This window comes from Homo sapiens, chromosome 20 (assembly GCF_000001405.40).
Source record: "Homo sapiens chromosome 20, GRCh38.p14 Primary Assembly".
NCBI classification, from domain to species: Eukaryota; Metazoa; Chordata; class Mammalia; order Primates; family Hominidae; genus Homo; species Homo sapiens.
In genome coordinates, this window is record NC_000020.11 from 63,411,023 (window position 1) to 63,424,293 (window position 13,271).

Consider the following 13,271-nt stretch of genomic DNA (forward strand, 5'->3'; position numbering starts at 1 on the left):
CTGCCAGCTCACGTGGAGCTGGGCCGCACCTCTGTTCTGCCCATCAGCCGGGGCTCTCGCCAGCTCCCTTATCAAAAACACTAATTAGGATGCTGGCAGCTTGAAAGCCAGCACCGGAGCTGCTGGAGCGCACGCCTGTGCCGGGCACCTGGCAGGCCTCTTCTCACGCTTCTTCCCGGTGGCTTAAGGGGTAGATGCTGTGACCGTCTGTATCTTCCACGAGAGGGAAGAGACACAGAGATGCGGCTCCACCTGCTCGGAGCCACCCAGGGCCCAGGTCTGGGCCGTGCACGTGGCCAGGCCCACCCCCACAGTGGGCAGGTGCTGAGGGGCAGGTCAGTGCCTGGGGAGGCTGGAGAGCCCTCAGCCAGGAGGGGCCTGTCCAGGGGGCACGGGCAGGGCCAGAGGGATGTCTGTGCAGGTCTGATGGCATCTGATCCTGGAGGTGCTGCCCGGGGGCCTCCCAACCCCAGAGGGAAATCTCACAGGGCATCCACAGAGCCCCCGGCTTCCCCAGGGCACTTGTCGAGAGGAGCAGTGGGGCCCCTGGCAGTCCTGATAGGGGCACAGCCTGCCTGGGGCCCTGGTGGAGGAAGGGCCTTCTCCCTCTTGTGGCTTTTTCAGGAACAGAGAAAACCCGAGTGTCCCCTCTGTCCCGGGGAAAGGGTGGTACAAGGTGCTGCCGTCATGTGGCCTGGAGCGAAGGGGCCGGCCATTCCACAGACACGTCGGAGAGGCGCTGGCATCCTAACCTAGGTGAGTACTGGGGTGACTCTCTCGGAGGGGCCGTGGGTCCTTTGGTGGGGTACTTCTTGTGCCGGGGAGTTGAAGGGGGCGGGGGACCCACAATCATATCTATCCTGGCAGAGTAAACAAGAAAAGAGACACCGGCGAAACGCATCGTAAAGCCACAGGAAATGAGGAGCTGGCCAGGAACTGGCGGAAACGGAAGCAACAGGGAGGCTCCGTCGAAACAGGTGCTCTCCCACAGAGGGTGTGGACGCCGCCTCGCTGGACCTTGGATTTGCCAAGTCCTTCCCGTGTTTCAAGCAAAGCTTTTGACTCGGGAGCGGGTGGCGGGCGGCCCCACTGCGGAGACCCGGGTGCCACGTCCCAGAGCGTGGAGTGCAGGGGAGGTGCCCGCAGCAGGAGCCGGTACCAGACAGGCCGCGGCGGGGCAACGGGAAACGCATTGTCAGGAGCCGGCCGAGGACTCCTGGGGTCCTTGGGGTGTTTGCTTTGTTTTGTTTGTTTTTCCAGAGAGAGAGGGAAGGAAAGGGAAAATTTAGGACAAGAGATCCTGGTGAACAAAAACAGCTGAAGTGAGAGAGATGTGGAGACAAAGCACAGAAGTCAAGACAGGAGGGCGTTCCGCACACACACGCACACGCACACGCAGCCAGGGTTGGCCGCTGCTCCAGAGAGGACGCTGGGAAAGAGGCCTCACAGCTGGAGCCCAGCGGGGTGAAGGGGATGGCTCAGTGGCCCCTGCACAGCAGGAGTGGGCTAAGGCCTGGAGGCGCCCCTTCCCTGGCCCCCTGAAGCAGGACTGGGCAGGAGCCCCAGGGTGGGGCTCTCGACTTCCTCAGATGAGAGCTTCACTCCCACTGGAGGGCCCGGAGTTGGGCTGTGACCCCCAGGCTGTCCCTGACCATCCCAGCCTTCTCCCTGTAACAGGGGCCCAGCCTCGCTTCCAGGGCTGAGAAACTGGTACAGCCTTGGTTGGGGGGCCTGGGAGAGGGAGGGGACCCTGATAGGCAGGAGCATGTCCCCTACTGCAGGAGAGACTCTCAACAGCCGTGTGTCCCCATTACAGGCAACATAAACACCCACTCGTGTGTATATCCTTGTTTGTATGTGCCTGAGGCTGCACATGTGTGGGCACGTGTGTGGACTTAGGGGACACCTATGCCAAGGAGGGCAGGTAGAAGAAAAGGTGCCAAGTAGCATAACTGATGCCTGGTGGGGCCCACGGGAACCCTGCAGCTTCATGTCTGAACAGAATTATTCCATCCCCAACACACATGCACACATGTGTACACACATGTATGCACCCCACACACGTGCATACATGGCAGAGCAGAGCCACACGTGCATACAACCACACACATACACCTGTGCAGAAGCATACATGTGTGCATGCGTGACTTACACACACACACATGCACACACACATTTTCAGGGACCCACACACACAGGTGCACGCACTTGCCCACCGCGGTGTGGATGGGGGAGAGATGGGAGAGACAGCAGAAATATTAAAACAGACTTTGTGAAGACACAACAGAAGCTGACAGAGGCCGACGTGGGTGGGGAGGAGGCCCCGCCCACACACCCCCTGCACTCCCACCATGGGCCACAGTGGGCTTTGTCCCAGAAGCCCACCCCGTTCTTGTCCCCTGCTGGACAGGCAGGCGGGGCTCTTGCCTGGACTGCAGGCTCTTAATTCGGGACAGCATGTCCAGGTGGCCGGCTGAGTACTGCTCGATGACGTCCATCACGTCGTAGGGCCGCAGGCTCTCCTTGAACTTCCGCTTGGACACCAGGAACCGCATGACACTGCAGGGGGGTGGGTGGGGCTGTGAGCCCTGGGCCAGAGACCCCCGGCCACAGGCACCAGGACCTTCCTAGCACCTCTGAGACCTCGGCGCCTGGAGATGGCTGGACTTGCCCCTCTTGTCTGCCGCCCACCAGCTCCACACACAGAAGGGCCTTTATGTGGCCCTGCTCTGCCCGGGACAGGTGGGGCTTGCAGGCCTGGCCATGCCCCCTTGGACTCCATGCCACAGCAGGCAGAAGGTGGCTGAGTTGCTTCCTAAGCCAGGTGGAGCCCGGCCTCAGGCCTCTTGCTGAACCGGCATCCCACCCGAAACCCGCCTGAGTCCCAGAGGAGTGCACTCCAGGACATTCAGCCAGGTCCACCCGTGTCTTAGCCCTTTCTTTTCCCAGTAGACTCTGTCTCTGGGCGGCTCTGTCCAGCACCATGAGCACCGGCAGCAGGCAGGACCACCGAGCGGGAGGCCCCTCCTCACTCCCCCAGGCTCCCGGCTGGGCAGGGGCCTCACCACACGGCTCTGATGCTGACTTTGAGGCCCGGGGTCAGGTCCTCGGTCACAAACTCGCAGGGGCAGCTCTTGTCATCCACAATGTCCTCTCCGGGGAGGCTTGCTTCTGGGGGGAAGGAGACAGGCCGTGAGGGGCCGAGGGGGCCGGGAGACCTATTCCCGGGGTCCTGCAGGGCACACCGGCTAGACAGAGCGCCAGGGAGCCCCTCGAGGCTCCCTGTGGTGCCCCTCGGGTGCACCTGCTTTTCTGGAAACCCACCCATCTGCACCCAGCTGCTCTCGAGTCAGGACCTTCCCCGGCAGGCTGTGGCCACAGGGAGTGGCCGATATGGGGCGTCAAAGGACATTCTGGCCAATGGATGAACAGAACATGGCGCATCCACGCACAGATGTTAACGGCGGAAGGTGCAGGCCTGACATCTGAGGCTCAGTGAAGGAAGCCAGACCCAACGGCCCCACGTGGGAGCCGCAGACACGCACGGCCCAAGAGCAGCGGGTGCTGGGGCTGAGGCGGGGAATGGGGTGACTACTGATGGGGTCATGGTTTCCTTCTGTGGTGATGAGAATGTTCTGGAACTAGGCTGAGGTGGTGGTGACAACTCCACCGTGAGCGTGCTACATGCCACTGAATTCCTACACTTTTAAATAGTTAATTTTAGGTTGCACAAGTCTCACCTCAATTTTAGAAAGGATAGGGGGTTCCCACTCCAAGAGCAAGCAAAAGCAGCTGCGACGCCACAGGGTGGCCACAGTAGCGTGGCCACCACATCCATCCCCGGAGAGGATGGACCAGGAGAGGATGCGGCCACACCCACCTTCTGAGTTCTGCCGTGACGCGGCACCCTTGATGCGGAAAGCCTGGCGTGCCCGGCTGCGGTCCCCGAAGCTCCAGCTCTTGGGCACCTTGCTGGGGCTGTCCTCGAGGCTCTGGTCGGCGCTGGGTGACCGCCTCACAGTCTGGGCCTGCGGGGACCCCTTCCCCTTGGCAGCCACGCCTCGGGGGCTGGAGAAGACACGATCTTTCAAACTGACCTTCTGGCTGCTCCCACGGGAACCGACAGACAGACAGAAAAACAGGGAGAGAAGTCACTCTGCAAAGAACACAGGCCGTGTCTGCTCATGGCCGACGCCGCCCATGCGCCGGAGGGAGACACAGGTCTGAAGAACAGCCAGCCACACGGGTGGCTCAGAGCAGGTGCCACGGGGACCGAGCACCCGGCGGGAGGGAGGGAGGGGAGGCCACGGGGACCGAGCACCCGGTGGGAGGGAGGGAGGGGAGGCCACGGGGACCGAGCACCCGGCGGGAGGGAGGGGGGGAGGCTACCGGGGCCGAGCACCCGGCGGGAGGGAGGGAGGGGAGGCCACGGGGACCGAGCACCCGGCGGGAGGGAGGGAGGGGAGGCCACGGGGACCGAGCACCCGGCGGGAGGGAGGGAGGGGAGGCCACAGACACTGAGCACCCGGCGGGAGGGAGGGAGGGGAGGCTGGGTGGGCAGCAAGCTCCCCCGGCTGGCTCAGGCGTGGCCAGAGGTTGGCCATGTGGGGAGAGTTGATGTCTGTGGACTCTTAAATCACTTTCCGCTACCACCACGAGGTGCCGGAGCCTTCCTCACACTGTCCTGCCAGCCCCTCACCCAGTGACACTCAGGGCAACGGGCATCCCAAACACCGGGGCTGTGGCTCTTCCTCGGGCACCTCTGTCTGCCCCGGCCCCGCCCGTGGTTTCCCCTGTGGCCTTTTCACACCCGTAACTGCTCCCAGGAAGCAGCCTCCCTCCTCCCCTCCCACGGCCTGTCCCTCTCCTTCTGCCCCAGAGTCGAGGGGCCAGGGGACAACAAGGACATTGGGGGCCAAGTCTGCGGTGGACCCTTGTTCAGCCACACTCCGGCCTTTCCACCCACCCCGGGGGCCTGCCTGGTGGGATGGGCTTCAGGAGGGCTCAGGCCTCCCCTGTCAGGCTCCCCTCCCACCAGGTCCGTGTCAGAGAACTGCTCCTTCCGGCTTCTGGAAGGAAGGAATGGATAACGGGGCTCCTCCGCCAGCTGGGCCTCACTATCCAAGTCCTGCCCCAGGGCAGGGGGAGGCAGCCTCCAAAGCCACAGCGCTGTGGCCCGGCCCCCTCGGCCTGCGAGGCGTGAAGCAGGATTTGCAGCTGTGTCTGGCTGGGTCTCCAGCTCCATACTCTCGGGGGGTCCTTGGGCCTGCCTTGCCCCCGAGTTTTTTGGTGACCGTGGAGATGGGTTTGCACCCGAGTTCTTCAACTCCAGCGTCCGCCGGGCGACAGTGAGGGGAGGGGAGGGTTCACTGTGGTTGGTGGTTGGGAGACGCCAGGCAGATGTGGCCTCCTGAGGTCTGGAAAGCATCAGAACCCCCTGGCTCCCTTGAGGACAGTGGGGCTCTCACGAACTGGGGACCCGCTCATGCCCAGCCATGCTTAGCAGCCACGGAACTTCTCAGGGTGGTTCTGGGCAGGGCCCAGAGCACTGTTGCTGGAGCCTGAAACAAGCCTTCGGGTGGGGAGGCCCCGCAGATCCCTGACACACTTCAGAGAGGAAGCCCAGTGCCTCACGGGCTCCCTGATCCCACGGCGGCTCCCCAGCCAACAGCGAGGGACTGAGGCCCCGGTCAGCAGCCACCATCAGCCCCGACTCCAGACCCACAGCCAGAGAGACACGCCCACCAGACGGCACAGAGATAACCAGCCACAGACATGAGAGCCCACCGCGCCCGTCTGCCTGGCCTGGACACGCGGATCGCTTGGCTGCCCCTCCCCACCCCATCCCCCAGGCAGCAGGTGACCGCCCAGACCATCTGTGCCCACTCAGCAGACCATCTGTCCCCACTCAGGCGTCTCTGAGAGAAAGAAAGAAGCCCCTGGGTGTTGTGCCCGCTCGGGGAAGCAGAGACGGAGTGGCCGAGATCCCCCGAGTCCCGAGGCGTCGCGTGCTTGGGGACGTCAGGAGCCGATGGTACAGGCTCGCTCAGGACCCCAGTCCTGAGTCCACACCCCTGCACTGCCTGAGGCCAACACACCGTGCCCATGGGGGCCAGGGGTGCTCAGAGTCCTGGTGCTGTGGGTGCCTCTGTCCCAACGGCCTCTGGTCCCCATCCCAACAACAAAAGCACAGGTGGTCGGGGAGAACCGGACGGGGGCCAGGGGAGCACATGGGCACAGGCTCAGCGGGACTCCTGGAATGTTCTCTCTTTCTCCACCGCACGAGCCATTTCAAAGGCAAGAATAGGCCCCTCCTGACCCCGCTCAGGCAGGCCTCAGGGCAAGTGGGAGTCACTGGAAGACTCAATTCCTCTCTCTGCGTTTCCACCCGAGGCAGGTCCAGTCACCAGAGAGAGAAGCAGCCACCTCCTTTCTCACGGCAGCTGGCAAAGCACCGGGTGGAGGACAGAGCCGGTCGGCCCAACTGTAGCTTCGGGGCTGCCCTTGGCTGGTCTCTGGGCAGAGCCCGGTGCTGAGGGCTTGCAGTGGGAAAGGCACAGCTTGAGGAATGGGCATCAGATTCCCACCTGCGGCCCCGGAGGGGAACGGGTCAAATACCCAGGCGGCCACACAGACGTGCGGGCCAGGAAGGGTCAGGCCCCACAGTCCGCAGGGAGTTGCAGGAAGGGAGTGGCGTGGATTCCACAGGCCCCAGGAGAGAAGACCCAGCCCCGACGTCTGCTTCCCATTTTTCAGGGGGGACCCCCCGCTGACCACGACAAGGAGCCACAGCCCCGCCAGCGGCAGACACACCCTGCTGGACCCGATGCCCAGCACAGCCCCAGGGGCCGCCGGGACGCAGCCCACGTGTACTGCCCCAGACAGAGCCGGCGGGAAGGAGCCTGCCCTGGCCTCGGCGCGGCCCTGCTGTCCCGGGTCTCGGGCTCCGCTCCCACCTCAGATCTGCGAGGGAGGCTCTGCCAGGAAGAGGAGGGTGGCGCGACCTGGACATGTCCTTCCCTCCCCTGGACCTCCACCATGACCCAAACTCTGCACCCTCCAAGCACAGCTGGTGAGGCTCCATGCTGCAGACACCCGACCCCGCCAGCCTGCCTCAGCTGCCAGGAGCACGCGTGGTCTCGCAGGCCCTCCCTCGGCCACAAGCCAAGAACAAGCGCACGCGAAAAGCTGCCGCCACCCACCTGGGAGGAGCCCTCGGCCAGAGCTGCCCTCTGTGTGCGAGGGGCGTCCGTGGCACCTACGCTTGGGGCTTACGGGGCCGGGGCAGGCTCAAGAAGCACCTGAGAGCGCGCCATCCCCACCCGGCCTGCCACCCTCCCTCCCAATGGTGAAATTCAGATGTGCGGTGCCCGCAGGAAACAGGAGGCTGAGGAGCATCCAGACCCCTGCCCAGCTGGTGTCCGGACCAACGACGCCCAGGAAGCGTGAGGATGAAGGGGCCTCCCGTGGGGGCTGCTCGCAGCAGGACAGGGCCTGCCCTGGGTTGTTCTCTGGCCTGGGCTCCCACCCCCACTTTCAAACCCCTCTGGTCCCCAAGCAGCCTGACCTCAGCCCCTGCCCTGAGGGACCAGCCTGCGGCCAGAAGCACCCTGAATAGATGCTCCGGACACGCAGGACAGCTGCTAGCGCCCCAGCAGGCCATGCCCCAGGCAGCCCACACGCCCGTCTCCCTCTCTGGAGCTGCCAACAGTCTCCCCGCAAGCACCAACGCCCCCAGAAGCACACAAGCAGCAAAGTCACAGGGAGAGGGTGGCATGGAGTCGCGGGCCCCCCATGGAGCAGGGTCCGAAGCATGCACGGATGCAGATAGGCAGCATGCAGCCCCACCAGCCCTCCAAGGCCAGCACCACCGGCGGCATGCACATGCCAAGGAGAGCCCCACAGGAGCACGACACAGCCACCTCCACCTTGCTGGGCTGTGCTGGCCAGGAGGGAGGGGCCCCCAGCGCAGGCCTGCACACACCCAACAGCAGACAGGGGACGCGGGGACAGGGGAGGTGCGGGTCACGGTGCAGGCCAGGAGCCCACGGTGCAAAGGGGGCGGCTCCTCCCCCGTCCTATTTCCACCTGCCCTAAACCAGGCCTGTTGTTGGGAGAGGGAGCCGCGGGCCTCTGGCTTTCTGGGGCTTCTGATGCATCAGGACCCTGAGGAGCCCGGCACACACAGACGGAGCTGCCTCCCGCGGTCGAGGCAGCCAGGAAGGCTCAGTCATCCTCAGGTACGCAGCAGAGGTGCTAGAGTGACAGCCCCAGGGGAAACGCTCCCTGAAGAGCAGTCGGGGACCCCAGGAGGCACGGACGCCTTGCTGGGTTCAGAGCCCCTGGCTGGCCCCTCTGGCTGTGCGCAGGACATCGCCTGGCGTGGGGAGCAAGAAGAAGCACCTTCCCCCAGCTCCGCCCTGCACGCAGCTGTCGGCTAGAATAGAGGGAGCTGAGCCCGCACCGCCAGGGCGGTGGGTCAGAATTGGGGTTGGGGCGCCAGCCTCCCCCTGGCTCCTCCAGAACCTCTAGTAAGCAGGGAGGGGCAGAGGAGCCGTGCAGCAGCCGTCAGTCCGTGCGGCGTGTTCCGCGGTACCTAGAGCGTCCGGGGCAGCATCCACACAGGGGCCCTCTGCACGGGCTGCCTTTACTGGAAATGAGGAGAGCACAGTTAGTCCTGGGCGCCGGCAACAGCACACGGCCGGGAGCAGGGAAACTGAGGCACTGCAACCACCCAGGGTGTTGTGTGCAGTCCCCAGCGGCAGAGCTTGCGCCCAAGCAAGGCCAGCGAGGAAGGTGCACCATCGTCTCCACCGTCCGGAGAAGAAAACACTTCCCTATTTCTGAAGGAAAAAAATCCCTGTTTTTTTTTTCCTCCAAAAATACCTTTTCCTTCCAAAGCCACAGTTTGGGTTCATGTCTTAAAAGATGTATTATTTTTTGCAGTATTCATGCTGACAAAACAATAATACATGTGGCCTCAGACGCCGCAGAAGCCCTGCTTGGGAAGGACGTGACCCCGGGAAAGGGCGTGGGTGTGAAGCACACACATTTGAGAGAGGAAAACGTGCAGTTGTCCCGCTTTGCAAACCAATCGGCGACGTTTGGCCATGCCAGCCAGTCCCCCAGTTGGAGGTGGGTCTCGGTTTACCCAGGAGGCGTGGCTGCCACTGCAGGCATGGCTATCTGGGGGTTCAAGGGCTCCCCTGAGGACAGTCACGTTGGGGCTCAGTGGATCCCCTCATTGTGAAGCCCTTCAGGAGCGCAGCTCCCCGCCGGGGCGTTCCTTAGAAAAGGCTCAGAAAACACGGAACGTTTTCCCAAGAATCTCCCCAAAAACCCTGGCGATTTAGCTCTGCATCACAATGTGCAAATGATTAAGCAAAAAATGAAACCAATCACCAAGAACTCAAGAACTCTTCCTTTTCCCCACCCCAGCCACCCCCAACCTCCTTGCCACTGCTTCCTGAGACAGCACTTCTCAAACTCGGTGCCCCAGGAACCCCAGCGTGGCGACGGCATCCACTCAGAACACACAGGCTCTAGGAAGAAAGCACCCAGCCTCCCGTCTTCCTGCGCACACGTGTGTTTAGACACCGATGTCCCTGCACGCACCCGCAGGCAGCTCTCCGAGCGGCGTCACAGACACGGCTAGCTCCAGTCACGGCAGCACTCAGCCGCCCGGGTAGGCTGAGGGCTCTGGACCCTTCCCCAAGCCCCACCAGCCTGCAAGACTCCAAGGGCGGGTGGCCGGCTTCCACCCCAGCCCCCGTGCCGGTCCGGCTTTTTAGTACACAAGCGACTTTGGGGTCCCCAGGCACGAAGGGATGTAGTGCAAAGGCTGGACTCTGTTTGCTGGTTAACCACGAACGCGACGGTGGGACGAGGCAGGAGGGAGCCGGCTCCCTGCGCCTGGCTTGAGGTTCTGGCTGCTCAGAGTCTCTCCCGCTGTGACCACCCCAGCTACGATGACACCCAGGCCTTCCTGGCAGGCAAAGACCTCAGACTCCCACCAGCACCACCCAGGCCCAAGCACAGAGCCCCTGCCTGGAGGGCCCCAGGAGACCTTCCCCACCCCAGGGAAAGAGCATGAAGGAGGCAGGGTCCCGCTTCCCCAAACCTCCCAAGGTCTCCTGTTTTGACCCCAGCATGATCGCCTTGACCAAGAGGCCCCTCCCGGGCCGGCCCTGCCGCCCGATTCTGCAATGGGATCGTCCTGTAGCCACACTGAAGCTCCGGCTGTCGCCACCAGGCACCTGAGACTCGAGAGTGAATCTCTAACCGTGCCCGTTATAATCCATGTTATTTTAACAGCCACATGTGGCTGGCAGCTCCTGTATGGGGCAACGTGGTCTGAGAGCCGGGGAGAGCTGGCAGGGAGGCGCTGCAGGCACAGCCCCCCAAGACCCCCAAAGCTTTGTGGGGGACCCGTGCAGCTGCACCTCCCCCTGGGGTCCGCAGCTGGCACTGGGCTTCCTTCCTGCCCCATCAGCCACAGGGAGCTCCACACTGCGTGAGAAGGCCCTGTGACCCGAGGTCGGACAGGCGGACAGGCCCACAGTGAGCTCGAGACCCACAGACACTGACCGAGACCCGACAGGACAGACATGCACCAAAAACACGCGGACACGTGTGCTTGAGAAGAGGAGGGGGAGCCCGAACAGGCACGGGGGAGCCCGCACAGGCATGAGGGGGCAGCCGGTGTTGGGGGCTCCTCCTCCAGCACGGGGGCAGGAGGCAGTGAGATGGGGTGTCGGACAAGACAGCACAAGTCAGAACCGCCGTGGCCAAAGAGACCCCCCGGGACCCCCCTGGGGCAGCACGGCCCGAGCCCCGCAGCCTGCCTGGCTCCCCACCCGACCCCAACGTAGACGCTTCCTCTGACTCCAGCACAGCCCCAGTGGTCCCTACGGGAACCGAGCCCCCGCCAGCCGGGTCGCCTGCCACCACGTGCCTGTGTTCTGAGCCAGGATGGGGGTGGGGGTCTCAGCAGTGAGTGAGGGTCCCTGTGTCCACACCATCCACCTGCCAAGACCAGCTGACACCAGCGGGGTCCTGCCATGCGGGGTGCGGGCTCCACCTCCAAAGGGCAGGCGGAGGCACAGGTCCCACCAGACTCACAGAGCCCAGGTCAGGCAGCAGAGGGGCGCCAGGAGCCGAGCTCCCCATCAAGCTTCGCAGAGCAGGCCCCTCACCCAGCAGCCCAGGGACGTGGCAGGCAATGATTGCGGAACAACTTCCTAAGCACGACCCTACACTGGACAGGCTGCGGCTGCCCCAGGCCAGGGAACAGAGATGCCACCCCGTGACCTGCCAGGTGAGCACCCCAGGATGGGCGGGGAGGGTCTTCAAGGGCAGAGACTGCTCCTCACTCCCACCGCACCCCAGGCACCTTCCAGAAGCCCCAGACCCAGCAGCCCCACGTCCCCCACCACAGGCGTCCCAGGAGGAGGGCCGGGGCGGGTGGGTGCTCGCCCGTGGGGGAGGGCGTGGGAGGCACAGGCAAGGACCCCCCGGACACATGGGGAAGAGACGGGGGAGGGGTGGGGAGCCACAGAGCTTACCGGAGAGCCCGGAGGCTCCCGCGTGTCCTCACCTGGAGTTCGCCTTCAGGGCCAGCACCTCATCCCCAAAGAGAGGGCAGACGAGAGAGGGGCCCGAGAAGGGCAGTAACAGGGATTAAAGCACTTGGGGGCAGCGGGTGTCCAGATGGGTGGAGTGGAGGGTGGGAGGGAGAGAGAGAAAGAGAGAGGCTGAGACGAGAACGTGGAGCGGGCCGGGCTGGGGCAGCGAGCACGAGGGGCCGTGAGGCACGGGGCGGGTTCCGGCGTCGCTCCCAGCAAGGGCGTGGGGCCCTGCCACGCGGAAGCCGTCGGGAAGCCTCGCGTCCACCTGGGACAGCACCGAGGTTCCGCCCAAATCACAGCCAAGGGTGCCCATTGTGGGGGGCACAGTGCTCATCCCCACAGCCACTCCCAGCCTCAGGGCCAGCAGCAGGGGCGGGGGAGGCAGTGGCAGCACTGGGGGCTGGCACCAGCAGAGGCTACGCTGCCGACCCAGCTCTTTCTGGGCCCTCGTCCGTTTTCTTAGCCTCTTTGAGAGGATGAATGAGCCCCTGGTGGTTTTCTTGGTTGGTGTGGGCCGGAAGCATTGCCCGTCTTTCCAGCTCAAGGCACTGACCATGACTCCCCTTCTGTGGGATGTGGGGTGGCTGGAAAAATGCAGCTCAGCCCCACTCCATCTCCCCGCACCCAAGCCCCGCAGTGTCTCGCCAGCTGTCACCCGCAGTCCAGGAGGGGCAGCCAGGCGTCCATCTCGGACCCCAGGTCCAAGGGGCCAGATTTACTCTGCAACATGTGGATGGGGCACAGGGGGCCCAGAGAAGCCTAGCACCTCCTCAGGGTGATGTGTCGGGGGCTGGGGCTCAGCAGACGTAGAATTAACTTGTGAAAGGATCTTGATTTTCTCTGTCTCCATCCTTCACCCCAGCAGAGCCCTTACACGAGTCCTGTCTCCAATCTGCCCGACCCACAGAACCTCGGGGCCCGGGAGAGGGAACCAGGCTAAGCACCTGCACCCTTGGCCCACTTTGACCTTGGCAAACAGGGAGAGGAGGCCAGCCAGAATCTCCACCCAGGGGCGTGAGACAGAGAGGATGTCCCACCCTCCTCGGAGGACGAGGGGCCCTGGTCTGTGCCACATGCTCCAGACACTCTGGACCCAGAGCAGCGGGAAGGCCAGAGGCCCACTTGGAGCTTTCACCCCAGCCGGCGTCGACTCAGGCCAGCTGTGAGCTCGGGCTATGTGCCTGCAGCTGGAGGGAGCGCACTAACAGAGACCCCCTGCCTCCGAGAACCCTGGGGCCAGACTTGTGGGCGGGGTGGGGGATCCCCCACCCCCGAGAAGCCGCCCAGCTGCCCGGATCCACAGTGCTGCAAAGTAAAACCGAATCACTGGGGAGGGGGTGAGCAGGAAGAGTGATTTAAGGGCCCACATCACCGCCAGGCGGGGGTCTGGACCCGCAGTCACACAGTCACACACGGAAGCACACACAAGGCCCTCACATCTCCATGACAGGTTGCGCACACGTGTGGGAGAGAGACCAGACGGCCGTGCACACGGCAGACACCAGGGTAGCAGCAGGGGGCACTGACCTTGGAGACGGCTCCGGCGGGGGGTCCTTCCTTCAAACAGAAGCAACAGAGAGTTAGTGGCCGCCCACTCAGCACCCATGAGGGTCCCCCAACCAGTCCAGCCCCCCACAGTCCCAT

At 64.0% G+C, this 13,271-nt stretch overlaps 1 protein-coding gene and 1 long non-coding RNA gene across 14 annotated transcripts in view, besides 1 other annotated feature; one reads left to right on the plus strand and one right to left on the minus strand.

The window, feature by feature from the left end:
* Positions 1-13,271, minus strand: part of KCNQ2 (potassium voltage-gated channel subfamily Q member 2) — a 72,448-nt gene that overhangs the window by 10,815 nt on the left and 48,362 nt on the right. For 3 of the 13 annotated variants that reach the window (XM_011528811.3, NM_001382235.1, XM_017027843.2), the window contains 5 exons: positions 13,155-13,184; positions 3,881-4,104; positions 3,066-3,171; positions 2,428-2,559; positions 753-860 (listed from right to left, as the gene is read on the minus strand). In XM_011528811.3, coding sequence (XP_011527113.1) covers positions 753-860; positions 2,428-2,559; positions 3,066-3,171; positions 3,881-4,104; positions 13,155-13,184 — 600 coding nt within the window. Of the gene's footprint in view, positions 1-752; positions 861-2,385; positions 2,560-3,065; positions 3,172-3,880; positions 4,105-8,596; positions 9,410-13,154; positions 13,185-13,271 lie in introns of those variants that run through there. The other 10 variants (XM_047440144.1, XM_017027841.3, NM_001439004.1 and 7 more) reach the window with 7 other exon arrangements.
* LOC105372724 (uncharacterized) lies at positions 243-2,328 on the plus strand. The gene is made up of 3 exons (XR_937002.3): positions 243-335; positions 625-756; positions 868-2,328. It is a non-coding gene; the product is annotated as an uncharacterized LOC105372724 (long non-coding RNA).
* Positions 6,534-7,181: an enhancer, noted in NCBI's record as "H3K27ac-H3K4me1 hESC enhancer chr20:62048909-62049556 (GRCh37/hg19 assembly coordinates)". NCBI's record gives its function as "activates a minimal SCP1, AML or CMV promoter by ChIP-STARR-seq in naive H9 embryonic stem cells {active_cell/tissue: H9 hESC(naive)}" and the evidence as "EXISTENCE:reporter gene assay evidence [ECO:0000049][PMID:30033119]".